The following is a 27,841-nucleotide window of genomic DNA, read 5'->3' as shown; positions in this document are numbered from 1 at the left end:
TGTTTATCCATGTATTTGTTGATGGACATTTTTTTGTTTCCAACTTTAGGCTATTATGAGTAATTCTCTTATAAACATTTGTGTACAAGTATCTGTGTGGACACGTTTTCAGTTCTCTTGGGGTACATACCTAGGAGTAGAAATGCTGGGTCATAACATAGTTCCATTTTTAACGTTTTGAGGAAAAAAGCATTGGTTAAGATAATTAGAAAATAAAAGGAAAAACAAATACTCTGACTGGTTCTTTCTCTTGGTGCCCCAACATTTTGGTGCTTTAAAATTTTCTTCCTCATAGTTTATTATAAACAATTAAAAATAGGCCTAAAAAGGAAAATATTAAGCCATTTTCAAATGATGCACAAAGGTGAGATAAAAGATATATTTTAAAAAATAAATATCAAGCAAATAATAACAGATGTGATAACAGACGTAGTACTACAGATGTAATAACAGAGGTAGTACTACAGATTAAAAAGACTAAAAGAGATAAAGAAAAACATTTTGTAATGATAAAAGAAACATTTATCCAAAAAGACGTAACAGTTAAGATCTTATGTGGAACCAACCACAGATTTTCAATATACATAAATCAAATACAGGTGGAACTATAAGGAGAAATAGACAAATTTATAATTATAGTATAAGATTTAAAGTATACTCTGTCTTAGAGACTGACAATATTTACCAAAAATAAGATTTATTTATTTATCTTTTTTAGAATTCATGTAACACATTTAACAGGCAGTATCTAGTATCAAGCACATTGCTTTCTAACAGGTAGCTTTCAAGTGGCTGTTTGGCAGACATGCAGCTAAGGCCAGGTGGCTCAGCTAGTGTGACATGTCACACCCTATAGGTAGTGATAGATCCCATGGGTTTGGATAGTGTCTTAGGTCTTTCCCTTCTACTTCTGAAAATCTGTCAAAACGCCAGAGGGAGAGAGGATCCTATTGTTCCAAAAGTAACCTGTACTTTGTCCTCCAAACTTCGCTTATTGATGCAGAAGGTGGCAGGAGCATCTTCTGAGAAGCATGTTCACCTTTGTAAGGAAACTAACACCCATCATCAGGGGCTTAAGAGGCATTTTGAGGCATAATCGGGGCACAGTCAGGCACAGAACCATGCCAGACTTCCTCTATTGGAGGTTCACCTCAGCAGTTTCTAAATTACCAAGTCGTCCAAAACCAATTAATTGTAAGAAGGTGCCAAACTACATCCTTGGAGCTTGCCTCTGGTGGTTCCCAGGCAGAAGGGACATCCCTGTGCTGGGGCAGCGTCCAAGACCCTCAGGGAACCGATAGTCAAGGCTGGGAGCCTGGAGTGGTTTTCAGGTCGGGAATGTGCAGAGGTGTGGGGCCCAGCTCCACCTGAGCCCCTGGCTGCCACCCTGGAGTGAGTACCTGCAGCTGCAATGACAGCAGAGCAGGAAAGTATGTTGAGAAAGTCCAGGGAAAGAAGGTCAGAGGGGCTGCAGTGGCCCCATTCTCCCTGCTGTCTGATTTCCCCAACAACTTCGCCTTACTCCAGGCTGTAATGGAGCCTGGTGCAGGACACTGTGCTCTTCATATTTCTTTTGCCAAATGGGACTTTTTGTACTTGCAGTTGTTGCCTCCTCTCTGGTACTCTAAGCCTCACAGTCCTGTTTTTCTTGAATATAACTTGCTCCATATGGTCCCTTTAGATTCCTAGAAGAAATTCTGCTGCATCATGTTAGGTGTCCTAGAGGCAAATGAATTCAGATTCTCAGAAAAGAGTTAGGTTCTAAAGTACACATCTTATCCTAGTAGTTAAGTGTTGCCTGGAGATATTTTTTGCTATATCTGTTAGAACTGCTTTTGCTACTCTAAATGTGATATCTGTTTATGGGAGATTCTCCTTCCCTTCTTTGAACTGGGATAAAGAAAACAGTTGACCATATAGAGTTGTAAACCGAAAATAAAATTTGAAGGCCCTGGCAACCATCTGAATGTATGCCCTCCTCTGTCAGGGCGCTCTAAAATTTAACCTGAAAAACTGGTTCAGGCCAAGATAGGAATGGGGGTTGGCATGCCTCATTATACCCCCCAGCATTAACATCAACATAGACTGTAATTCTAAGAAGAAATATTTAAAGTCTATTCCTTCTAAAGCCTGCTATTTGGAGGCTTCACCTGCATGATAAAACCTTGGTCTCCACAACCCCTTATTGTAACCCAGACATCTTTCTACTGATAATAACTCTTTCAACCAATTGCCAATCAGAGTATGTTTAAATCTGCCTATGAACTGGAAGCCTGTTCCCCTTTGAGTTGTCTTACCCTTCCAGATTGAACCAATGTAAATCATGCATGTATTGATTGATGCCTTATGTCTCCCTAAAATGTATGAAAGCAAGCTGTACCCCAACCATCTTGGGCACATGTCATCAGGACCTCCTGAGGCTGTGTCACAGGTGTGTCTTTAACATTGGCAAAATAAGCTTTCTAAATTGATTGAGACTTGTCTCAGATACTTTTTGCTTTACAGTGTAATAAAACAAAACAAAACAAACAAAAAAAAACCCATCCATTAGCCAGTCCTGGTCATTATTTAGATTATATGAACCCCGAACATTTGAGACAGGTCTCAGTTAATTTAGAAAGTTCATTTTGTGAAGGTTGCGGACCTACACCTGTGACACAGCCACAGGGGTTCCTGACGACATGTGCCCAAGGTGGTCAGAGCACAACTTGGTTTTATACATTTTAGGGAGATAAGAAACATCAATCAACATATGTAAAATGAACTTTGGTTCGGTCTGGAAAGGCAGGACAACTCGAAGTAAAAGTGGGACAACTTGAAGCGGGGAGGGGGCTTCAGGGCACAGGTAGGTGAGAGACCAACAGTTGCATTCTTTTGAGTTTCTGATTAGCCTTTCCAAAGGAGGCAATCAGATACGCATTTATCTCAGTGAGCAGAGGGATGACTTTGAATAGAATGGGAGGCAGGTTTGCCCTAAGCAGTTCCCAGCTTGAATTTTCCCTTTAGCTTAGTGATTTTGGGGTTCCAACATATTTTCCTTTTACATTTCCCCCCTTTTCTTTTTTAAAATCTTTTGGAGAAAGCATTTTAAAAGAAAATGAGTTCCTGGTTCCAGGTTTTGTCTGATATCTCATGGCTAGGATGGTTTATTCCTGACCAGGTAGGTCTGGTGTTATGAGGAAAGCTCATTTTTAGAAGGTTGTGAAGTCTCATATCCTATGAAGAGAAAATAGGAGGACAGGGAGGAAGAAAAAAACAACAATAAACAAAAGAACAATCCTGGAAAATTGATATAGGCCACATTACTCTGAAGTCTATATATCAGTAGGCAGGTATGTAAGTGGCTTATGTATATAAATAGGTTGCTGTTATTTTCTTCTGAAGTTTAAGTTGTCTAGTTTCAGTTCACAGGGTGTTATGAAAGCACAGCTTAATTTTCAGTGACTCCAAATTATGAAAAATGGGGAGAAAAGAAGGACAAAATCTGAAAACATTATTTTGAAGACTTGTAGCCAAGAAAAATTAGAATTCTTTCCAAACTGTAGAAAATATAAAAATTGAAAAACATTAGGCAAGTCTAGAATTTAACAACAGGTGTTTTTGAACATAATTTTTGAATTATGTTTTTGAATTAAGTTTTTGAAACATAATTTTTCTCTCTCTAGCTTCCCATTTTTGCTAAAGACAAATCATGGTAGGACTGGTTTGCTTTATTATAGTTGGCCTAATTTGTATACAGTATAGCAAAAATAATTATTTTTTACATAACCTTTTAAATGGGGTTTGATGGAACTATGTTCCATAGGAGGAATCTCAGATAAAACTTTTCAAAAGCCGAGCCCTGCCATGGATTTGTGCCATCAAATATCTATGAGTTGGATGATCCTCTCCTTTTGAGGTTCCAGTATAAACCTGGGACTCCTGGGACTTTCAGTAAGTGACATTCTTTACTTGTCACAGGTCAAAAACTGTGTATAGGAACTGTGTACACAAAATATGGGGCCAGTTTTCCCAAGGGCTTTATTGGCTCCATACTTTAAGTTTGATTCCTTAAAGGAAAGCATACCATTCCAGTCAAAGCCTTGGTAAAATAATGAGTTTTTCCAATTGTGTCCTGTTACAAATGAAAACAGATTCTTATTGCACTTATGCAAATAACTGTATTGCCGTTAAGAATACTCATCAGTAGTTTCCAAATTCTGGAGAAATCAGGTAGAGAGAAACAAATATGCTCCAAATTTTGTTTATAGGGGTATACTAAATTGTTAAAAGTTGTCAATAGTTCAAAAGAAAAGTTTCAAGACTCTGAAAAACAAAACAAAGGATCAGCAATGTCTTAAGCAAAAAGTCAAAAAAATTCCTGTTCTGCTTGATATTCATGAACATTTTAGCTCTCCATGAGTCCTGAAAGTTTTTCCTTTACCCTAATGGCACATTCTCCAAAGTTATCAGAAACCTGCATTCGAGAGCACCTGTTAGAGTTTTATAGCTGATTATAAAATCACCTTCTAAAGAGGACCAAAACAAGACAACAATTGTCCGTGGATGAGAAAACGTTTTAGGGCAGCCATAGTCAAAGACACAATTGAGAGGGAAATTTGTTACCTCTGTGGCACACAGTGATTTAACATAACAATTATAATTATTACTGATAATATACACTAAGTTATATTAGAATTGTAGGAGTTTCCCATAATTTTGGAACACATACTAGTAACATATTTATACAAACACAGCCCAAAGAAAACCAAACACCATTTCACATTTGACAATGCTTCCTGTGTAATTTTTGTAACAAATAAGCCAAATTATGTCATTTTTGGACTTTAGGGAACTTAATATCTTAAAGAATTAATTATGTCAGAAAAAGAATAATTTATAATTTGATTTTGGAAAGCCTGTGAAATATCAAAGGTTTAAAACTTGATATCACAAAATAGGATCACAGGTCAATGTAAAATAAGTCATTCATTTAACCAAAGTGGTAACTCAAAGATTTTTTTAAAAAGGTGAAAACCTTCATTCTGTGAGAGAGTTAATTTTCCAAATAATAAGCCCTAATAAAAACAGGATGAAGCCAATTAAATTTGCTTTCCTTTTTTTTTTTTTTTTTTTTTTTTTAAAAGATGGAGTCTTGCTCTTTTGCCCAGGCTGGAGTGCAGTGGCACAATCTTGGCTCACTGCAACCTCCGCCTCCCGGGCTCAAGAGATTCTCATGCCTTAGCCTCCCAAATAGCTGGGATTACAGGCGTAAGCCACCACGCCCAGCCAAATTTGTTTTTCAAAATGTTATAAACAATCTATAAAATTTTAATGTAGACCGTAAGATATAACTTCCATAAGCTTTTGATAACCCATATAACTTTTATTAAGGAGTCAGTTAATGCTTCAAGAAAACCTTGTTAATTTGACACAGGGGGCCCATATGCTGGTCTTGCTTCAGTGTGCCTTTAACATTAATGATTAATTTATAGAGAATATGAACTAATTTTTTTTTTTTTTTCAAAATCAGCCCTTACAATCCCACATGCCCACCTCTTCCATGAGAGTTCCTGGGCCTTGAATTGAAATAGCTTTAACTTCTAGCCCTGTGTCTCTGACATGCAGTTTATTTTGATTGGTATCTTCTATGGGGCCTAAAAATGGAGCTTTAATTGCTGTCAGTGTTTACAATTTAGCAGGACTTGGTGTCCTTTTTAGACCCAGAAGTCAAAGCCCTCTAACTCAATGCCTTTAAAAGTGCATACAGAGAGATACACAGATGTAATAACCTTATTTTTTTTTTTAATTTAATCTCAGTTTTTTCCCTAAGCAAACCAATGCTTTATAATAATAGCATAGTAATTGTTGTGATAACGTGTAAATCTGTTAGGCCAGTTACCAAAAATCAAAAGAAAAGATCTTCAGCAGTGCACAGAATATTATGATGGAAGAAAACATTTCCTTTAGACCTTTAAGAAAACATTATCAGGCCACTACAATAGAAGTCCAGGAAAAAAAATATATATATATGAGCTGAAAATGAGTTGAAGGAGAGCATTACTATTTCATACCCTTTAAAAGGGGGAAGAAAATGGAGAAATGCAATAAAAGTTGAACTTTGGCTTAAAAAAATTAAAATTTTTTATAATTTATTAAAGTAAATAAATCCCTTAAGAAAATTTCATTGTTCTAACCAATTATTTAGTGTATAAGTGGTTTCCTTTTTACATCATACCCAATCTCTAGAAAGCCCATTATAGTTTTACTTTAATTATAGACAATTGACCATATAAAAGTTTTTTTTTAATAAATCATTTTATTGTGACTTACAAAGGCCATTCATGACATGCTTGAACTTTCTGGTTTGTCCTGAACATCCATCTTTCTTAAACAACCAGTCATTGTATTCTAGGTCTAAATTTACCATTCAATATTCTTTCTCATATAAAATTATTTGTCTTTAAGCTTTCTTACCAAAAAAACCTCTTTATTTCTATAACTTTCTTTGTATTTCTCTTATTTCTCAGATCTGTTTACCTTGTTTTATATATAACCTTTAAATAAGCTTTGAATTAGACAAAGCTTGTTCATTTTTATTTTTTTTTGAGATGGAATTTCACTCTTGTTGCCCAGGCTGGAGTGCAATGGCAGGATCTCAGCTCACTGCAATCTCTGCCTCCTGGGTTCAAGCAATTCTCCTGCCTAAGCCTCCCAAGTAGCTGGGATTACAGGCATGCACAACCATGCCCAGTTGATTTTTGTATTTTTAGTAGAGACAAGGTTTTACCATGTTGGTCAGGCTGGTCTCAAACTCCTGACCTCAGGTGATCCACATGCCTTGGACTCCCAAATTGCTGCATGAGCCACCATGCATGGTCTTGTTCACCTTTTTTAGACAAAGGACACACTTTTTTTTTTTAAGCAAGAATGTTTTCCTACAATATATATTTGTTGGAAAATACACAAGTAATGAAATAACAATTATTTAATTTGATATATCTTTATATTCTAAATCATGACCAGTTTATCTACAAGTATTTATATCATTACCTTTACCTAATTATTTTGTTTACCTAGGTTATTTATGAAAACTGTGATAGTCATGATTTAAAGTTATGAAGCTGCCATTGCAAAATAATAACTGAGACAGTCAAAAACTATTTGACCCAACTGACTCCATCTTGCTCTTAACCTCCAAGCTGTCCTTGTTCATTCCTGGGCACAGGTGGAACTAACTTTGAGAGGAACTTCGTTTATAGTTTAGCTTTGAAACAAAGATGATAACAGTCCTTTTCCAAAACAAACCTCCTTACTGTCTGTGGACTAGACTCCCTAAAGCCACAGTATTAGAAGTTGTGGTAATCTTGCTAAATTCAAGATGCAGCTATCTTCATTAAACCCATATCAATGTCTTATTTATTAAACATTACACAAGTGAAGATAATTCTGTTTTGGGCTGGGTTTATAGTTCTGTAACCCCTGTGCCAATTTTGACACACACCTTATAGTATTTGCTAGGGATAAGTATGAAATTGCTTGATTAATAAATGCAAACAAAAATGTATGCTGGCAATTCTTAAGACATTTCTAATACTACTTTACCAATAATTTTAAAGCTAGCTTATTTATTAAAGATTTTACTTAAGTTACATAAACTTAAAAAAGCATTTGACTAGTCTTTTCTTTTTCCCTGATAAAGTATTTGATTTAAGCAATTTTATTTTTCTTTGAGCCAATTAATTAGAGCTCTTTTATATGTTTTCAGTGGTGAAACATTGTGTACACAACATATAAATACATAGACGTATTAGGCATGCTGATAGAAGTACATCTTACAGATTCATAAAAACCTTTTTTTTTCCTATCTTAGACTTTCAGATTCTTGATAACCTGTTTCACAACCCTAGGCAGTTGTCAGCTAAATAGCCTTAAATTGGCATATTAACAGAAACACCTCAGGTGTATGTCAGATAGCACAATTTACATCATAATGTACACAAAGAAAGTTTGGTGAGGTAGAGAGAAATTAAAACAGATTTAATTGCCAACTGAACATAAAACTATAGAAATTTATCATTGGATTGTATAAGGAGACCAATTTTATTTAGATAGGGACTACCTATTTTTTTTAACTGGATCTGTGAGCTCTAGGCAGGGCCTACACTGAATTCTGGGTCTCCAAAAAGAAAGAATTATTATGAGGCTAGACCATGTGATTCTTTTACACTGCACTTAAAAAATGTTTTTGGCCAGGTGTTGTAGCTCATGCCTGTAATCCCAGTACTTTGGGAGGCTGAGGTGTGTGGATCACTTAAGGTCAGGAGTTCGAGACCAGCCTGGTCAATATGGTGAAACCATGTCTGTACTAAAAATACAAAATTATCTGGGTGTGGCAGCACACGCCTGTAATCTCAGCTAATTGGGAGGCTGAGTCAGGCAAATCACTTGAACCCAGGAGGTGAAGGATGCAGTGAGCCAAGATCGCGCCATTGCACTTCAGCCTGGGCAATAGAGTGAGACTCAATCTCAAAAAAATTTGTTTTTTAAACAAAGACGGTTCAGACTAAGTGTCTAAACTACACTCTTTCTTAAAAACCCAATACCTATTTTAGTAAAAAAATCAGGTGAAAACATAATTCAGTCAACTGAGAAGAAAAAACCTCTTGCTCAAAAAAAAGACAAGGTCCTAGGAGAGAACAACAAACAACAACAACAACAAAAAATGAAGGCCTTTTAAATACAAACATGCACGTATGCACACATACACATACACACACATATCGGATGTTAGCCTTTTAATTAAGCTGACTTTTAACCATTGAACTGCTTTTAAAAAAAATCCTTTTAAATCTCATTACCATATTTTAGCTAGGAAAACTTGCTGCTATTTCAAAAGTACCAAGTAACAAACCAGAAAGGGCTTGATTTAGGAACCAAACCCAGGCTGTGGTGGTGAAAAAAAATATAAAAGCAGGACCTTAGCTATCGAACTGCAGCATAGAATGACAGCCATTGCTCTTTCACTTTGGTCTGGCTAGCAAAAAGGTGGCCTTGTTATGTAAATAAAGCCCCTTAAGTACTCAAAATCAAAAATCTTTTTTTTCCTTTTGTTGGCCATTTTTCTCCTTCTACCATACCACCTTGTGTGTGGGGGGGGGGGAGGGGGTGGGGGGTGGGGGAGGTTTTAGCCACTTTAGAGGTCTTGTTCCTCATAATTTGGAACTTTCCTTCAGATTTGATCAAGTTGGATAGAGTTGGTCAAACCCAATGGGAAAAAGACTGAAACAACAACAAAAACAGAAACAAACAACAACAACAAAAAACAGTTAAGCAAAACAAACGATCATGCCACTTACATGATTACTGAGCACTCTAATGGTAAGAAGAAATTAAGACTAGCTGGTTGTTAATCTTAACTTTAGCCAAGACATACCCCAACTCAGTTACTTACCTAGGGATAGGTCTCAGGCTGTAGACTGCTCTCTACCATCCTAGAAGCAGGAGAAAGACCTCATTTTCCCTTTTAGAAGCGAGCTCAAACTCCACAAAGGAGTTACCTGCCTTGGATCATCATGGAAGCAGGAAAACTTGCCTTCCTTGTTGGAAGAAAGTAGAACTCCAAAAAAAACAAAAACAAAAACAAAAACAAAAACAAAAAAACAGGGACTTGTAAGGCAAAATAAACTTTAGATCTAGATTAGATCTTGGCCAAATTTTGGGAGATCAGGGATTCTCTGGAGGGGGTGCTCTCACACCTCAGCAAATTGTCCTGTTGGTTTGAGCCATAAAGTTAGCTCATGCTGGTAGCAAGCACCAGTAGGAGATTTGTCAAAGGTCAGGGGCATCTCCACTCAGAATCCCTCTGTGGTTACCAAATGTGAACCCCCAAAATTTGAGACAGGTCTCAGTTAATTTAGAAAGTTCATTTTGCCAAGGTTGAAGACGCATGCCCATAACACAGCCTCAGGAGTTCCTGATGACATATGCCCAAGGTGGTCAGAGCACAACTTGGTTTTGTACAGTTTAGAGAGATATGAGACCTCAATCAACATATGTAAGATGAACATTAGTTCGGTCTGGAAAGGCAGGACAACTCGAAGTAAAAGCAGGGCATCTTGAAGCAGGGAGGGGGTTTCCAGGTCACAGGTAGGTGGGAGACAAGTGGCTGCATTCTTTTGAGTTTTTGATTAGCCTCTCCAAAGGACTCAATCAGACACACATTTATCTTAGTGAGCAGAGGGATGACTTTGAATAGAATGAGAGGCAAGTTTGCCCTAAGCAATTCTCAGCTTGAATTATCCTTTTAGCTTAGTGATTTTGGAGTTCCAAGATATTTTCCTTTCACAATTATATACAGTTAACAATACTGAATGAAAGGTGACAGGCAAACATAATTGCTTCTGGATGCAGATGTTTACATTTCTTATACCTGAGATGCTTATGAATTGGAATTGAAGAGTGAATGTTGAGCAAAATTTATACCTGGTTTAGCCTTGCCACAGGGCTGGGTAGGGCAAACAGCCCAGGCCCCTTCACTTATGACACATTTACAGTTGCCCTCTGCACCTTCTCCTATCTTCCCACTGAGTACCTTCCAAGCAACAGATACTGTGGTGATTGCTGAGATCTGACAAAGAAAAAGACTACCACTCAATATCTGAAACAAAAAGCTGAATCTAATGGTGCCTGAAGCACAGTCTCCTCCAGTAAAGCAAGGAGCTGATTGTCTATAGAAGTTTGTGGAGCATGAAGTTGAGGGATTGGCAGAATTTCAGAGGTGGGAGTGGGTTCGTTGTTGCCAGCTAGGGAAACTTGGTTGTTTAGATGAGATTGTTGTGGATTGGCTGGCTTTCAAAAGCATGGGGCTGTTTCTGGCTAGATTTCACAAGTGTGTTCGCTTAGGTAAGTTGCCATCAATCCACCAGACCAGATTATTTTATTTTATTACTTTTTGTTTTTTTTTGAGACAGGGTCTCACTGTGTTGCCCAGGCTAAAGTACAGTGTGCAATTACAGCTCACTGCATCCATGAACCCCTGAGCTCAAGTGAACCTCCAACTTCAGTCTCCCAAAATGCTGGGATTACACATGTGAGCCACCATGCCTAGCCCATTAAACCAGTTTGGAACTGGTTCTGGTGGTTACTTGTTGCCATAACTGCAGCACGTTTAATCTTTTCCCAGGAGTGTCGGAATTTTTTTATTTTCAAGTCTCTGCCTTCAAGAAAATCATTATCTATGTGGGGGATAGCCATGCAAACTATACATAGAGACAGCATAACAGAGAAGTTAAAAGCACAGTTTTCTTGCTAAACATAAAAGATTGGTGACTTGCATTTCCTTCTGTTCCTTCCTGAATTTTCACCTAGATGACACTAAAGGGATTTTAAAAGGCATAAATCTAAGAGAAAGAACATGAAGGGAGACAACAGGAGAGGGTAGAAGAACAGCTGAGAGATGCCAATTAAATTTTGGAAGCCTCCAAATCAGTTTGCAATTGCTAACTGATCTAGCAGACCAGAGAAAGCTGAAACAATACTGCCTGCAGAGAGGGAAGCCAAAAAGAAAAACCCTGCCTTAAAACCCTGGAAAATCTCAGGAATAGGTAGTATTAGTCATCTCTGAAGGTAGGGGTAAGAAGTGAGGCTGAAAACAGAAGGATGGATTGAATATCTGTGAATGAAGCAGTTAGACCCTTATATCCCTTTCCATACCATAGGCAGACAAGTAACCCAGCCCAGCAGAAAATGGAAAGGTATTGAATTGAGGAACTCAAACTCAGGCATAGGTGAAAGGCAGGAAGCTCTGCAGAAAGTAGGGGAAATAAGTGGAAATTGATATATCTCAAAGTAAGACTCTAAAGCCTCCTTCCTTACCGTGGCTTAGAATGTTGGCATCTATAACACCCACCAAAGTATGAAACTGGAAGGAGAATTTCTCCTGAGGAAAATGGCCATGCCTAGAAAAAAGACTTACAGATGCTGACACATTTCTGGGGAGGTTTTCCCTAGGGAATAGCTGGGGCCCTACCGAATCATTCTTCAATAAGACTATAATTCAATACATTGTACTTCTCCACAAAGGTTTTGTTTTTAGGTTTCAGTGCCTCACTTTTAGATATAAATGAATAGGTAAGAATCATCAGACACTTGAGGAAAGTTTCCAGCATAAAGAAATAGAGATAAAACAAACAGGAAAGAATGTGGAGGAAACTGAGACAATAAAGGAATCAGAAAAGTTAGGACCTACGATTTATGGTCTCAGAGAGATAAAAGAAGCTATTGCATTCATGAAGAAAAAATGAGACGTTTTTTAAAAGCCATATGTAAGCAAGCCAGGTTCAGTGTCATGCACTTGTAGTCCTAGCTACTTAGAAGGATTGCTTGAGCCAGGAGTGTGAGTCCAGCCTGGAAACATAGTGAGACCCTGTCTCTTTAAAAAAAACCTATATAAGATGTATTAAGTAATACCATAGAGAAATATATAAAGCTGCATAAGAAGACTTTTGAAAGTAGAACTTAACCCTGTCAGGAGGAGATAGGAAAGGTTTCATAGTAGTAGAAAGCTGAAACGGGGTATAAGTGGATGAATAAAGTTTGACAGGTGACGAGTGGGAAGAACATTCCAATGTAGAAAGGTATAAGCTGTAACATAAAAGTCTGAAAGATATGTGTTAGCAGAAAGAATGTGAGCCAAGAATTTATATATTGTGCTTAGTTGACTTTCAAGTATAAGGCCTACAGATCAATTGTTATGGACATTTAGGATCTCAGGGAATATCGCTCCCATGAACTCTTCCTGAGGAATGTACTAGAAAATTAGCCTCAGATAAGCAAAATGACTAGAGAGGCATTGACATAATGACTGGTGGCACTGGTCCTTAATAGGTCTAACATCACAAAAGAGAGATAACCATACATTGTGTACATCCTACTGCAAGAGCATGGCAAGAGCATAGCTGTGAAGCAGCAGTGTCAAGAAAATTAAGCTTAAGTCTAATCATGATGGAAACCTAAGATGGGTGGACACTAAACTGAGAGAAAATTTGGAAGCTCCCAGACCCTGGGTTCCATAAGGAGAGCGAGGGAAGGGTAGGAGTGAAGAATGATGTGAGACTCCCAGTGCAGGTCACCTTCCAATATTTAATCCAACATTTTTTAATCTTTAAGCTGGTGACACCTTTGGATATTGCCTATGATCTCTGAATCACACAATGTTGCTTTGCCTTAATTTTGGCTCTCTGATGAAGAAGATTGAATTAATCACACAGCTCGATTCCTAGTACATTATCATCATTAGTCTGAGCAAGGTCCTTCTCTTGTTTTATTTATTACCTATTAACCCCATTTCCCACTTGCATCTCCTTCCTCTCCTATAGGCAAACATTCTAGTCTTTTTAATGTGTTTTTGTTTTTTTGCTTGTTTCTTTATATCATGCTTACAAAACGGATATCTTTGTATGCATGTGTATTTTTGTTTACAAAAAAGTGCATCATATACATCTTAGTCTTGGGCATTATGCTTTAAGTTCAGCCATGTTGCAATGTGCAAATCTGATCTATTGCTAATCTACTCTTCCAGTGATGGACACCAAGATTATCTATTCACTGTACCACAAATATTGTTACAATGTACATCTTTGCATATGACCCTTGGGACATATGTGACCTGAGACTATGGACCTGAGACTATCTGAGCACGGGAAGGAGCTTAAATACTGCCCAATATTCATTCAATGTTAATCAACAAGTATTTGTTGAATGTTACTATAGTACCAGCTACTATTTTAGTTTCTAGGCATATAGTGGGAAACAAGATAGACAAGGTCCTTGCTCTCAAATAGCTCACTTTCTAGTGTAAAGAAACAGAATAAAGACATTTTTTACACATAATAAAAAGTCCTATGCAGAGAACGAAAACATTGTGATGTGCTAGTGTCAGAATGGCTATTTAGATTTGTTAGATAAGAATAAACATTAGAGCTAAGATCTTGAATGACAAGAAAAGGTCAGCTAGGTAAAGAGCTGGGTTAAAAGCCTCCTAAGCAGAGGACACGGTAAGTGCAATGGCCCTGAGGAGGGAATAGCCTTGACTTATGGGGAGAGCAGCAAGAAGGTCCAGTGTAGAGATGAGGAGTGTAATGGAAGAGAAGTGTATTCGTTATCTATTGTTATGTAACAATATTACCACAAATGTAGCAGCCTGGCACGGTTTAGCTGGGTCCTCTGCAAAGCTGCAATCAGGGTATTGGCCAAAGTAGGGTTCTCATGGGAGGCTCATCTGTGAATCTGCTTCCAAGCTCAAGTAGTTGTTGGCAGAATTCAATTTTTTGCAGGCTCTTGGCTGTAGGGCCTCAACCTCTTGCTGGCTGTTGGCTAGAAGCTGCCTTCAGTTCCTTGCTGTGGGGGCCTTCCCATTATGGCTGCTTGCTTCCTCAACATCAGCAAGGGAGAGAGAGTTTCCCAGCAAGAGAGGTTACAGTCTTGTGTAAGGTTATAACAGAGGTGATGACCCGTCATCCTGGCTGTATTTTGTTGGTTAAAAACATGTCCAGGTCCTGCCCACTCAAGGGGAGGGAATTACACTGGGATGAATACCTGGAGGTGGGAATCATGGGAACCACATTAGGGACTGTCAGCCACAATGAGGAAACAGGGGTGGAGGTTGCGGGAGGGTTTATATCATGAACACCATCTTAAGTACTATAGTATGAATTTGTTTTTTCTAAGTGAGGTAGAGAATCATTAGGAGACCTGAGCAGGAGATTATATCATATTTTAAATTCTTAACTATCCCTCTGCTTCAGTGTCTAAGAGAAATTGTAGTGGGGTCAGCAGGGAAACAAGAAATTCATAGGAGGCTGTTGCTGTAGAGAGCAAACAGTGGCCTGGCTTCAATGGAAGTGTATATAGAGAGAAGTGGACAGAATTGGGATATGCTTTCAAGGTAGAGTTGATAGCACTTGCTGACAATTTATTGGGGGACTGTTAACAGACAAATTTAGTAGTTTGCCCAAGTTCACAAACTATCATTAGAAGAGCTAGAATTAGAACTCTGCCTGCCTGGTTCTTAGTCCCGTTCTCTTTCTACTATGCCATTATAGATGCATGATATATCCAGTACATCCTCTCTATACTAACTCTCATTGCCTGCCCTTTACCTCTTACCTTCAAATTTTGCTTTAAACAAATAACCATTGCACAGGCTGCTCTGAAGAAGATGCATTGTTGCTGCCACTCTAAATAATGTTTTTAGAATTGGTAACATTAACAGTGATAGTGTCAGGTAGGGGTAGCAAAAGGAATGATCTTAGAGAAAACATGCCTACTCCAGCATTTGCATTAAGCTCCTGTGATGCCCCCTCTACATATTTATAGAAGTCTGGGTAGCCCAAGCTACCCAGCATGGGAAAAGAGACTATGCTGTCTTCTTGATTTGCGCTGTCCTGAGTTGTGGGGTTTTTGTCTTATGAATTGTTTATATAGTGCCCTACTTCCTTTCCCTAGGCTGTCCTAATCCTTTCATGGCATATATTCTTCCTTGGCTACTTTTAGAGTAGATAATGGCTCATGAGCAGAAACTGTTTTTGTAAGAATAAGGACCAATTACTGAGTATGATATGACAGGCAATGTGCTAAGTACTTTACATCTATTAGCTCATTTAATCATCAAAACACTCCCATGAATTATAATCTTATTTCAGAGGAAATAAAACTAAAGCTCTAAGAAGCTGACTTATTAGCTAGTAGTTTACTTACCTGCATCTGAAGGTGACTTTCCTAGAAAAAAATAATTTGCCTCAATAGTGAAACATTCAGCATTTAAGTGAAGTTCCATTTAGTCTTTTTTCCCCCATGTTGTTTTACTTACTAGTTGTTAGGCATTTTGAAAAAAAAAAATTATGAAGCCTTTAAAAGTATATATCTTTTAAAATTTCCTATGAAAATCAACATGTTTATTTTCCGTTCTTCTCCATGGCCCCAAGATAATTTCAGTGCCAACCTACATGAATAATATGCATGCTCTCAGGATTCCTGCTGAGATTAAGGGAAATATTCTTATTCTAAAAGTAAATAATTTGCTGAATTTTTTTCTGGCACAGACATCTGCTTTAAAGCTTTAATTAATGTTGCATGGCTTTAAAGAGACTAGTTTCCAATAGCCCGAAAAATATCAACATTATGATGAAGATGAAACAGATGTAGAACACTCAGATCAAATAAGGAGCTCAATTATCTTTGGAAGGTAAACGTTGCTGACGCCAACTTTTGCTTCCTGATACTAATTACAAACAAAAAGAATCCGAGGAGGGCAATTCAGATGGGGCAGCTGGGAGGGGAGACTGGAAAGAGAAGTAGGGAAATGCCATAGAAAAGGTAAGGCAGCCAGTGAAGGTACTTTATTTACCAGCTACCATGTGGAAAAACCCTAGGAGGTAATGTAACATACAAACCTCAGAATTATCCCACTAGAGGGATGATGGAGCTGGAAAGTCAGGGATGAATGCTCCTTGTGACTTGTGTGTATGGTGGGGGGTTGAAGGTAGTGGTGTTCATTTTCTGTGCTTTTGACCTTCCTATAATCCCATAAGACGCCTTGTTCAGATGGGGATGGGACTCTGAGGCACAGAGACTGAGCAGATATTGACAGTCGGAAGTCACAGGAACACACTGACAGGTCTGGGCTGGCAGCAAATGCTACACATGCTGTGTTAATGATGGGGAGGATAAACAGGTTGCATATGTTGCTGATGGGAGTTTACATGTGGCTACCTCTATGAAAATCAATTTGGAAACACCTATCAAAGGCATAATTGATCCAGTAATACTACTTTGAAGGTTTTCTCCTACAGATATATTCATAAATGTGCAAAATGATGTATGAATAAGGTTATTAATTGCATAATTGTAAGGCAAAAGGTTGGAAATATCCTTAATATTTTTCACTAGAGGACTGGTTAAATTATGGTACCTTTATTTTTTTGTATACATTTATGAGTTCCAAGTACAATTTTGTTACATGCATAGATTGCCTAGAGATCAAGTCAGGGCTTTCAGGGTATTCATTTCCTGAACAACTTACATTGTGCCCATTAAGTAATTTATGATACATTTAAATGCAATACTGTGCTTGTTTGAAAGAATGAGGAAGCTCCTTGTATAATGGTATGGGGTTGATTGCAAAGATAAACTGTTAGGAGAAAAAAGCAAGATGTAGCGGTGTTTGTAAGTGAACATTTGGATTAAAAAATGGTGATGGTGGTGGGAGACTATACTTGTTACATGTGCATAAAATCTATGGAAAGATCCACCGAAGATAGTTAACACTTGTTAACTCAGAGGAAGGGAACTGAGGACAAGAGTGAGGGGATACTTTTCCTTCCGTATAGCAACTGTATTCCATTACCTACTCAAAAATAAAATGTAAATAATTTACAAAGAACATTGCATCTTGGGGGCAGTTGGGACCTGCTAAATTTTGTTTTAATCTTTCACTGAATATGTGATCAGACCTGTTGGGATGGACAGGCAGTTGGGTGGGATGCAGAGTTTCAGGGAGCCTAAAGGGAGAGACAATGACTGGATAGAGAAGCAACCAAAGTTTAGTTCCCAGGGCCAAAGCGCCAATCAGGGAATAGTATTCAGCTATTAACTTGTCAGGGAATGTACTTGAGTAGGTAGGGGACTCAATCTGAAGGTAAATGGTATCAGGCTACCTGTTTTAACTGCATTTTCTTAGATTCTGTATGTCTATTTGGTATCTACTTATCGCAGGGTCAAACCATAAGTAAATATGGTAAACCATATTTACTTTTGTCCTGTAAGTCGGCTTGCCGGGAACTCATGTGCAGACCAACTGAACCAAGGTTGTGGCTCCACATACCTTCTTATCTAACTCTCACATACCAAGCCACTGTTTGCCCTACCCTAAATCATCACAGGGCCAGGTATCAGGCAACTACATATCACCCCTATAGCCCAAAGCCTATTGGAATTATTCAAACTAGCCAATCCTAAACTGTTTCCCCTGCTCTGCCTTGCATTTGCTGCAGAACCCCAGTAAGGGCTCTGGCCTATGCCTTCCCCTCACTCCTGCTTCTGTCCCCGCAGAAATCTGCATGAATAGAGCCTCCTTTTCACCTTTTGCCTTCTGGACTTCCAACGCTCTCTGCCATGAGTATACACATTTCCACTTAAAACAAAAATAAAGCCAGAGCCCTTAAAAATAAAGCTTTATTAGTATATAATTCACATACCGTATCATACCATATATATTAGTTTTATATGGCTACAAATTACCACAAACTGGGTGCATTAAAACAACAGAATTTGTTTTATTGAATATTGTTTTATCGAATATTTACAGAATTTTATTTTACATTTACAGAATATACAGAATATTGTTTTATTTTATTGAAAATATTTATTTTCTCACAGTCCTGGAGACTGGACATCCAAAATCAAGATGTCGGCAGGGCATGCTCCTGAAGGCTCTGGGGAAGAATCCTTTCCCTCCTTTCTATGTTCTGGTGGTTGTCAGCACTCCTTGGTGTTCTTTGGCTTTTACTCCATTGCTTTACTCTGTCTCTGTCATCACATGGCCTTCTTCCCTGTGTCTCCTCTGTGTCTTCAAATCTCTCTTTTTTTTTTTTTTTTTTTTGAGACAGAGTCTCCCTCTGTCACCCAGGCTGGAGTGCAGTAGTGCGCGATCTCGGCTCACTGCAACCTCCACCTCCCGGGTTCACGCCATTCTCCTGCCTCAGCCTCCAGAGTAGCTGGGACTACAGGCGCCTGCCACCATGCCCGGCTAATTTTTTGTATTTTTAGTAGAAATGGGGTTTCACCGTATTAGTCAGGATGGTCTCGATCTCCTGGCCTCGTGATCCACCCGCCTCGGCCTCCCAAAGTGCTGGGATTACAGACAGGAGCCACCGTGCCCGACCCCAAATCTCTCTCTTCTCATGAGGACACCAGTCCTTGGATTTAGGTGCCCATCCTAATCCAGTATGGCCTCATCTTAACTTGATCACATCTGCAAATATCCCATTTCTAAATAAGGTGATATTCAAGGTACAGGGGTAGGACTTTAACATATCTTTTTAGTGGACACAAATCAACCCACACCACCATACAATTCACCCATTTAAAGTATACAATTTAATGGTTTTTAGTATACTCACAGAATTGTGCAATCATTATATCAACTTTACAACATTTTCATCGCCCCACAATGCAACCCTGTCCTGTACGCATTAGCAGTCACTCTCCATTTCCCTGCAACACTCCCCCAAGTGCTAGGCAACCAGTTATCCATGTTCTGTCTCTATAGATTGCCTATTCTGGACATTTCATATAAATGGAATAATATAGTATGTGGCCTTTTGTGCTGGCTTTTTTTTTTGAGATGGAATATAATTTTATTTTATTTTATTTTATTTTTGAGATGGAGTTGCCCACGCTGGAGTGCAGTGGCACGATCCTGGTTCACTGCAACCTCCACTTCCAAGGTTCAAGTGATTCTCCTGCCTCAGCCTCCCCCATAGCTGAGATTACAGGCGCCCACCACCATGCCTGGCTAATTTTTGTATTTTTAGTAGAGATGAGGTTTCACCACATTGGCCAGGCTGGTCTCCAAGTCCTGACCTCAAGTGATCTACCTGCCTCGGCCTCCCAAAATGCTGGGATTACAGATGTGAGCCACTGCGCCTGGCATCACTTAGTATAATGTTTCTAAATTTCGTACATACTGTATCAGTACTTCATTCCTTTTAATGGCTGAATAATATTCCATTGTACAGATATACCACATTTTATTTAAGCATTTATTAGTAGATGGGACATTTTGGTTGTTTCTACTTTATTTATTTATTTATTTTTAGATGAGTCTTGCTCTGTCGCCCAGGCTGGAGTGCAGTAGTGCGATCTTGGCTCACTGCAACCTCCGCCTCCCGGGTTCAAGCAATTCTCTGCCTCAGCCTCCTGAGTGGCTGGGATTACAGGCACCCGCCACCAAGCCTGGCTAATATTTTTGTATTTTTTTTTTTTTTAGTAGAGACAGGGTTTCAGCATCTTGGCCAGGCTGGTCTTGAACTACTGACCTCGTGATCCACCCGCCTCGGCCTCCCAAAGTGCTGGGATTACAGGCATGAGCCAGCACGCCTGGCCTGGTTGTTTCTACTTTTCAGTGATTTGAATAATGCTGCTATGAAAATGTGTGTTCAAGCTTTTGTGTGCATATGTGTTTTCATTTCTCTTGGGAGTATACCTAGGAATGGAATTGCTGGGTCATATGGTAACAGTATATTTAACTGAAGAACCGCCAGACTGTCTTCCAAAGCAGCTACATCATTTTACACTCCCACCAGCAATGTATGAGGATTCCAACCAATTTTTCCACATCCTCGTCAACACTTGTTATTATCTTTTTTTATTATGACCACCTATGTAGGTGTGAAATGATATCTCATTGTGGTTTTGATTTACATTCCCCTGATGAGTACTGATGTTGAGCATCTTTCCATGTACCTATTGGTCATTTTTATCTCTTCTTTGGAGAAATGCCTATCATATTCTTTGCACATTTTTAAATTGGGCTGTCTTTTTATTAATGAGTTCTAAGAGAGTTCTTTATATTTTCATACAAGTACCTTACATATAATTTACAAATATTTTCTCCAACTTTGTGGGCTGTCTTTTCACTTTCTTGATAGCATCCTTAGAAGCACAAAAGTTTTCAATTCTGATGAAGTCCAACTTATCTGTTTTCTTTTGTTGCTTGTGCTTTTGATGCCATATCTAAGAAACAGAACTTTTTAAAAACATACTGTTTATCAAAAATGAGTAAATCGTTTATGTGAAAAATTCTAGGCTAACAAAGTGATGGTGAATAAGAAGTATTTTTTTCAAATCACAAAATAACTTGTACCACTTTAGGCTTTCTTTCTAGAGTCACTTTTTTGTGTTTCATTTAGGATTCTTGTCCTTGTACAAAAAGAATAATTATGTAGATTACCATTTATTCAAATAGTTACTGGTGTATTATATTGCTGTGATTCCTATTTGGATAACTAACATTTCTGTTAAATAATGTTAGTTCTAACTTGTTCACAGAAAGTAAAAAGAATATAATTAAAATAATATGAAATTCTACCTCCCAAAGCTAATCCGAAGTTAAAGTTTATTTAATTAATTAATTAATTAATTAATTTATTTATTTATTTAGAGACAGAGTCTTGCTCTGTCCCCCAGGCTGGAGTGCAGTGGCATGATCTCGGCTCACTGCAAGCTCTCCCTCCCGGGTTCACGCCATTCTCCTGCCTCAGCCTCCCAAGTAGCTGGGACTGCAGGTACCCGCCACCACACTCGGCTAATTTTTTGTATTTTTAGTAGAGACGGGGTTTCACCTGTTGGCCAGGATGGTCTCGATCTCCTGATGTCATGATCCGCGCGCTTCAGCCTCCCAAAGTGCTGGGATTACAGGCGTGAGCCACCACACCAAGTTTATTTTAATAAAAAGATGCTCATTATATTTTAAGTCAAAATAGCAGAATTGCAAAATGTTTAGTACATTCCCATTTTTGTAAAAAATTATACAGATATTTTCTTGGAAATAAGTCTAGAAGAATATAAGCAAAAAGTTAATAATGGTAATCGGTGGAGGGGGCAGCTTTCATGTTTTTGGGAAAATACTTTTTCTGGTTTGGTATAAAAACTAAACATATGCTATAAAAATAAAGTGAAAACATCTTTCAGCCTTTTCCATGCATATTTAAAATGAAATATTTTACAAAGTCACAATCTTACTAAATGTTTTATACCGTGTTTTATCCTGCCCTTTTTTCACTTCATATAATATCATGTCATTGAATATTCTTTGAAAAGATGATTTGTACTACTTGAATTAAAATTCATGGCTTAGAGTCACATTATTTAGCCATTTCTCTATTGTTGAGTGTCTAGGTTGTTGTTTACAATTTCCCACCACTTAAAAAAATGTGGTGCCTAGCATTTTCATAAATAAGTGATTGTTTGCATCTCTGATTATTTTGATAGGGGAGATTCCTAAAATAAAGGCTACTGGATCAAAAGATATGAATATTTTAAAATGTCTTTCTGAATGAATTCCTTTGAAGACACTGTAACACTGAATTGCTTATTCTTTTTGGTTTCAATCTTCAAGTTTAATTGCCTATTTCTATACTTTATTTACTCCATGGAAGCAGCAAGGGAAAGGGATGAAGCGGCCTGGAGTGCATGTTGCATTAGAGGGCAGAAGACCTAGATTCTTTAGGTCTTGGAAAACTCACAAATGTCCACCAGCTTTATATACCTTGTCTTTCAAATAAGGGCGGGGGGGTGGGATTCCTTAGCCATAAATTCCACAGTTCTCTAGTTCTCCTTGGCTACTAGGAGAAATGCTGGGCTTCGTATTATGGCAAAAGCAGCAAATACAGGTATCTCAGTGGAGGATATGTTTTCATGGCCTAGTCTCTAGTCAGATGCTTTTACAGAAACGAAATGAAATCCTTAACAATGCTGTTAATAGGTAATATTATGTTTGTTTTATTATCAGCAGTTTTACAGCTGAAAAAACTGAAGCCCACAGAATTTCAGTCACTTGCCCAAGATCATTCAGCTAGTAAGGGGCAGGAACAAGAATCCAATCCATGTGTGTCTGGCTCCAAAGCCCATGCTGTTGACACTTTATAATACTTCAAAGTTGGACAGAAATCATATTTTTATGGGCTTGATATTATTGATTTAATGACACACATTCATAAGTTCTACACTGATTACTCCTCCTCTAAAGAACTTTTATTTCAAAGGTACTTAATGGTGGAGCACTATTAATGCATTAACTTCAATATCAGAAAAACAGTATCAACAAAACCAATAGGAATGTATAATTTTATGAAAAAATAAGCCTACCAAATTATTAATCTTACAAACTAGATATTTCTCTAAAAATACCCTAAACTATTATGGCAAGTTTTTTTTCCTACCTGAGGTCTATATTTCTCAGTTCTTTACTTTCATAAAAAGTTTCTCAAATATTTGAATAGACACTCTATGAATCAGCAAGTATGTGAAAGTACTGTATATATATATATATATTTTTTTTTTTTTTTTTTTTTTGAGACAGAGTTTCGCTCTTGTCATCCAGGCTGGAGTGCAGTGGCGCAATCTTGGCTCACTGCAACCTTCTCCTCCTGGGTTCAAGCGATTCTTCTGTCTTAGTGTCCCAAGTAGCTGCGATTACAGGGGCGCACCACCATGCCCGGCTGATTTTTGTATTTTTAGTACAGATGGGGTTTCGCCATGTTGGCCAAGCTGGTCTTGAACTCCTGATTTCAGGTGATCTGCCTGCCTTGGTTTCCCAAAGTGCTGGGATTACAGGCGTTAAGCCACCACACCCGGCCAAAAGTACTATCTTTTTAACAACCTTATGTTATTGTTCCTGTCTTTTTCTTTCTTAGCCTTCTTATTATTTTTCTTGGTGACTTTCTCCCTCTCTCTCTGTCTCTTGGTGGCAATTCTCCACAAAGTCTCGTAGAGCCAATAAGAAACAGACTTCTATCACCCACAACCATGTGTCTAAGATAATTTCTCATATCTCTACTAACACGCTACCAGGTTTCACATCCTTTGGTGGATTTATCTTTCCAGTTTCAACAATATGAAGCTATATTAATTTTAAGTGACTACAGCATAACCATCCCTGCAGCAATTGAACATTTGTCAGACAGTGCATATTTAACACCTTCACATTTTCAAAGGACGTAAAGTCTGGCTGTTTTTGTAGAAATCAAACCATCCATTATTAAAGTCTTTAGTATTTTTGTCTTCGGGTTTTTTGATTTGGTTGTTTTTGCCATTTACATCTATAGCTTTTACTGAATTCCCACTTAGCTCCACGAAGGCAGAAGCTATATTGTCTCAGTCACCATTATGCCTTATCACCTACTACATAGCAAGTGCTAAGTAAACATCTGTTGAATGAATAAATGAATATATTCTTCTATCAATGATTCGAGACAACACTTTTTATCATATTTCCAATATAGTTATTCCTTGCTAAGCTTGGAGGTGGCATGCCACAGATACTGCCTCACAGTTGGCAAGAAAAGTCACGGTCTTACAGAAAATAGGGAGTGGGAGAGGGTAAAATAAACTAAACTCCTGACAAATAAAAGTTTTGGGGACATGTGCTTTCAAAGTAAGCCAGACTTACTGACTTTAAAGATCTCCTCTAGCAGAAAAGCTTTTATCTGAATCATCTTTTTAACTTGTTCAGAAGACATTGCTTCAAGAGTATCTACTGTGGTATGTTCTCCTACAAATGTCACGCCATACGTATACAGACTGTACCCTACTGGACTTGAAATTCAATTATTTTTGCTTTTGCATTCTTTCGTGATGCATTTTTATAATCCTTCCTGAGAAGTAAATCTGTATGGATTTATTCATTTAGAAGAATATCCATTTAGTAGAAAATTTAAAATTTACGGCCTCCTTTTTGCCTGACCGATTAGAAGGCAAACATTTCTTTCTTTCTTTCTTTTTTTGAGATAGAGTCTTGCTCTGTCACCCAGGCTGGAGTGCAGCGGCACAATCTCGGCTCACTGCAGCGTCCGTCTCCGGGTTTCAAGCGATTCTCCTGCCTTAGCCTCTGAGTAGCCATGATTACAGGCACATGCCGCCATGCTCGGCTAATTTTTGTATTTTTAGTAGAGATGGATATTCACCACGCTGGCCAGCCTGGCCTCGAACTCCCGACCTCAGGTGATCCACCCCGCCTCGGCCTCCCAAAGTGCTGGGATCACAGGCTTGAGCCACTGCGCCGGCAGGGGGCAAACATTTCATGATTAATCTGACTGAAATACCATTTTTAGGTTCATCATTAGCTCGGACTACAACTCAGGCTGTGCTGTAACTTTGTGTCAACTCATTGATCCAACAGTGTGTCCTTCACATTTTTTCTTATGGCCACTGTTTTTTGTGTTACCAAAGGTGAAGGCATAGCCTTCCTCTCCTCATGTTCAGCATCTTCTGCGTTTCTCTGTTTATAAACAATGAGAAAAAGGGAAAATCTAGTATTTCTCTGACCCTGAAGAACACATATGGGATTCAGAGATTCAAAGTTAAAATGCAACATTAGGGTACATTATGTCACCAGGGACCGAAAAGAACACGGATAATAGATGCCAAAAAAATGTATTAAGTAATGTTAAAATTAATTTGTGTGAAGTTGACCAAGGCTTTTAAAACTAGACCTTTGTTTCCTTGATTCTTCTTCTGAATTTTCTGTTCTTTTGCTAGTCTCAATATTTTTTATCAGAGCGTCAGGGACAATCAGGACCTAAAAAACTCCACTTGGTGTAATAAGTAAACACATGTTGGGGCAAAGTATTGCTGAGTGTGTGTGTGTGTTTCTTATTTGGTATCAGAAACACCTTCCTTTCCTCAATAAACTTTTACATATTTCCAGACTTTTCTCTTAATTTTATGTAACCTTACAAAGATTTTTTACAGCTTTCTCTGCGTGCCAGTCAATTAATGTGTGTCACATGAACAAATAATACGGCTTGAATAAACTCAATCCTATTATTGCAGGTTGCGAAGTCACCTACTCCGTTTTTATGGCGATGCTGATTTGGGGCATTCTGCTCTTACAGGCTGATTCCCCGGTAAGGAAACGGTGTTTTTTCCCCATCCTACTATGAAAGATGCTATCTGAGGGGCAAAGGCGCATCTGCATTTCACGACTACCCACTAGGCTACGACAGCCTCAAGCATGGCTTATCTGGTAGTTCCGCGAAGGGCTCGCTGCCCTCCTGGAGCTATTGGAGTCACCTGTTCAAGGTCGCGAAACCACCGGTGCCGCCGGCAATCAGCGAGGTCCAGCGGGGCTGCGCGGTTTCCGGCCTGCCGGCGTTCGGCGTCGCCTCGGCCCCACCTGGTGCCCCGCAATCTGCGCAAAGGCTGGGAGACCGCGCCCTCTCCCGACCTACCACCAGCCCAAGCTGGGCCCGGAACTAACACCCGACAAGCGCTGGCGGCCAGCTGCAGCCGGGAAGGAGCACCGGAAGGAGGCGGTGGCGGGGCGGCCGAGGGCGGAGCGGGCCGGGGCGGGGCGCGGCCTACAAAAGCCACGCGCGGCGCGGTGGGCGGGCCTGGGCGCGAGCGGCTGAGTCGGCTGGGTCTCTGGCGCCGCAGAGGCCGCGGGCGAGGACCGGGAGGGGAGAGGGAGGAGACAGGAGGAGGAGACGCGAGTGCGGGGTGGCGCCGGTCCACCTCCGCAGCGCTCCTGCCTCCCCCAGGCTTTGGAAGGCGGGCCCGGGCTGCGGCAGCGGCGGCCTCGGCTGCCTGGGGAGGTGAAGTCGGGCTGCGGCGGCCTCGGTCGGCGCGGCGGAGGGAGGCGGCTGACCCGGCGAGGGTGGGCAGGTCTGGGCGGCCGGCGCCGCTGCGAGGTGGAGGGGCGGCTTGGCATCCCCGGGGCGGGGCGGGGCTCCCGAGGGCCGCGGTCGGTGCGTTTTCCGCAGGTCAGCCTCCCCCGGGGCCTTGCAGAAGCGGCTTCTGCGTACCCGGGGCGGCTGTGGGAAGGGTGGGGGTCGGTGCCTGCAGGGCTCTCCGTGGCCGCTCGGGAGAGGTGCTCTTCGCTCAGGCTCCCCCGGAGACTTGAGGGGGTGCGCGCTGGCGTGCATGGGGCCTGTTCTGTCCTTGGTTTGGGGATGCTCCTAAGGGGGGAGAAAGGGATACCTCGGGTGCTTGGAGGTCGAGAGACGGATACGTAAGTGCGCAAGGGCCACTGATTAGGGCACGGGAAGGGCTCGCTAGAATGAGCTCTTAAACTGGTTGGGTGTAAGCGGTTTTGGGCTAGTCTAAACCAAACAACTGAGAATAAACGCGGGGTTCCTGCAGGTTGAGAGAGTACCTGTCTGCAAATGTCCAGTAGTGATGGATTGCCTTGTAGGCCCCAGAGCAATCGGGGAAGTTAGCATTCTTGTTCAAGAAGCTGCTGGTTCACTTAGAGCTATAAAAGAATGTTGTGAGTTTGGATTTTCTTCCAAACGTTCAGGATTGAGGTTAGGGCTGGTGGTGAGGGATCATGTAAAGAGGTTTGAGTGGCTCAGCCTTAGGTCCCGGTGTGGAAAGCTTATTCTTTTGGTGTCATCACGTGGCCATGGGAATTATTTAGAATGTGATCTGCCCTCATGAGAAGAAAGGAGCTCTGAAGCCGTTGCAGTTCTTCCTCCCTATGTGGAAAATCGAATTTCTGGAAACATCCTCCGTATTGGGAGATTTTGCCTATGTAAAGGCTATCCTTATTGGCTAGCGGCACTAATTACTTTAAAAGTAGGATGGAAGTACAAGTATCTCAAGCATCATTGGGTTTCGAGCTCACTTCTGTGGAAAAGAGTTTAAGGGAGTGGTCTAGACTTTCCAGGGAAGTTATTGCCTGGCTGTGTCCCTCTAGTCCTAATTTTATACTTAACTTTCCCCCACCTCCTTCAGCCTCATCTGTTTCAATGGTGCAACTCTTTTCATCCCCTTTTGGTTACCAGTCACCTTCAGGCCATTCAGAGGAGGAAAGAGAGGGGAATATGAAGTCAGCCAAGCCCCAAGTGAACCACAGTCAGCATGGGGAAAGCCAGCGGGCCTTGAGCCCCCTGCAGTCTACTCTGAGTTCTGCTGCATCTCCTTCCCAAGCGTATGAGACCTATATTGAAAATGGACTCATATGCCTTAAACACAAAATTAGAAACATCGAGAAAAAGAAGGTAACTTTTTTTCTTCCAGTCCTGTAGATGCATGATCTTAAAGATTAAGGAGCTGACATTTTTCTTTCAGAGCTCATAGG

The 27,841-nt window shown here is 39.8% G+C and overlaps 1 protein-coding gene and 1 long non-coding RNA gene across 98 annotated transcripts in view, besides 5 other annotated features; one reads left to right on the top strand and one right to left on the bottom strand.

The window, feature by feature from the left end:
* Positions 1-365: 365 nt before the first annotated feature.
* Positions 366-26,031, bottom strand: LOC645485 (uncharacterized). The gene is made up of 2 exons (NR_135046.1): positions 25,834-26,031; positions 366-1,719 (listed from the first exon to the last, which is right to left on the bottom strand). It is a non-coding gene; the product is annotated as an uncharacterized LOC645485 (long non-coding RNA).
* Positions 24,626-24,829: a silencer, noted in NCBI's record as "fragment chr12:30909210-30909413 (GRCh37/hg19 assembly coordinates)". NCBI's record gives its function as "represses an EF-1alpha promoter that drives an FKBP-Casp9 reporter gene in an ReSE screen in phorbol 12-myristate 13-acetate-treated (for megakaryocytic differentiation) K562 erythroleukemia cells {active_cell/tissue: K562(+PMA)}" and the evidence as "EXISTENCE:reporter gene assay evidence [ECO:0000049][PMID:32094911]".
* Positions 25,921-26,600: a silencer, noted in NCBI's record as "silent region_4322". NCBI's record gives its function as "represses an Ori minimal core promoter by ATAC-STARR-seq in GM12878 lymphoblastoid cells {active_cell/tissue: GM12878}" and the evidence as "EXISTENCE:reporter gene assay evidence [ECO:0000049][PMID:35858748]".
* Positions 25,921-26,697: a biological region, named in NCBI's record as "ATAC-STARR-seq lymphoblastoid silent region 4322".
* CAPRIN2 (caprin family member 2) overlaps positions 26,154-27,841 on the top strand; it is a 45,399-nt gene continuing 43,711 nt past the window's right edge. For 29 of the 97 annotated variants that reach the window (NM_001385543.1, NM_001385538.1, NM_001385541.1 and 26 more), the window contains exon 1: positions 26,154-27,761. Coding sequence is in view for 58 of the 97 variants with exons in the window: in XM_047429428.1 (XP_047285384.1) it covers positions 27,342-27,761 (420 nt within the window). In the remaining 39 variants the exon portion in view is untranslated. The remainder of the gene's footprint in view (positions 27,762-27,841) is intronic. The other 68 variants (NR_169638.1, NR_169639.1, NR_169640.1 and 65 more) reach the window with 7 other exon arrangements.
* Positions 26,528-26,697: an enhancer, noted in NCBI's record as "experimental_28171 CRE fragment used in MPRA reporter constructs". NCBI's record gives its function as "activates a minimal promoter by MPRAs in K562 erythroleukemia cells, with activity observed for both the introgressed and non-introgressed 12:30907427 variant alleles {active_cell/tissue: K562}" and the evidence as "EXISTENCE:reporter gene assay evidence [ECO:0000049][PMID:34662402]".
* Positions 26,701-26,780: an enhancer, noted in NCBI's record as "active region_6159". NCBI's record gives its function as "activates an Ori minimal core promoter by ATAC-STARR-seq in GM12878 lymphoblastoid cells {active_cell/tissue: GM12878}" and the evidence as "EXISTENCE:reporter gene assay evidence [ECO:0000049][PMID:35858748]".

This window comes from Homo sapiens, chromosome 12 (assembly GCF_000001405.40).
Source record: "Homo sapiens chromosome 12, GRCh38.p14 Primary Assembly".
Taxonomy (NCBI): Eukaryota; Metazoa; Chordata; class Mammalia; order Primates; family Hominidae; genus Homo; species Homo sapiens.
The sequence above is the reverse complement of the archived record's forward strand: the minus strand, read 5'-3'. Positions and strand labels throughout refer to the sequence as shown.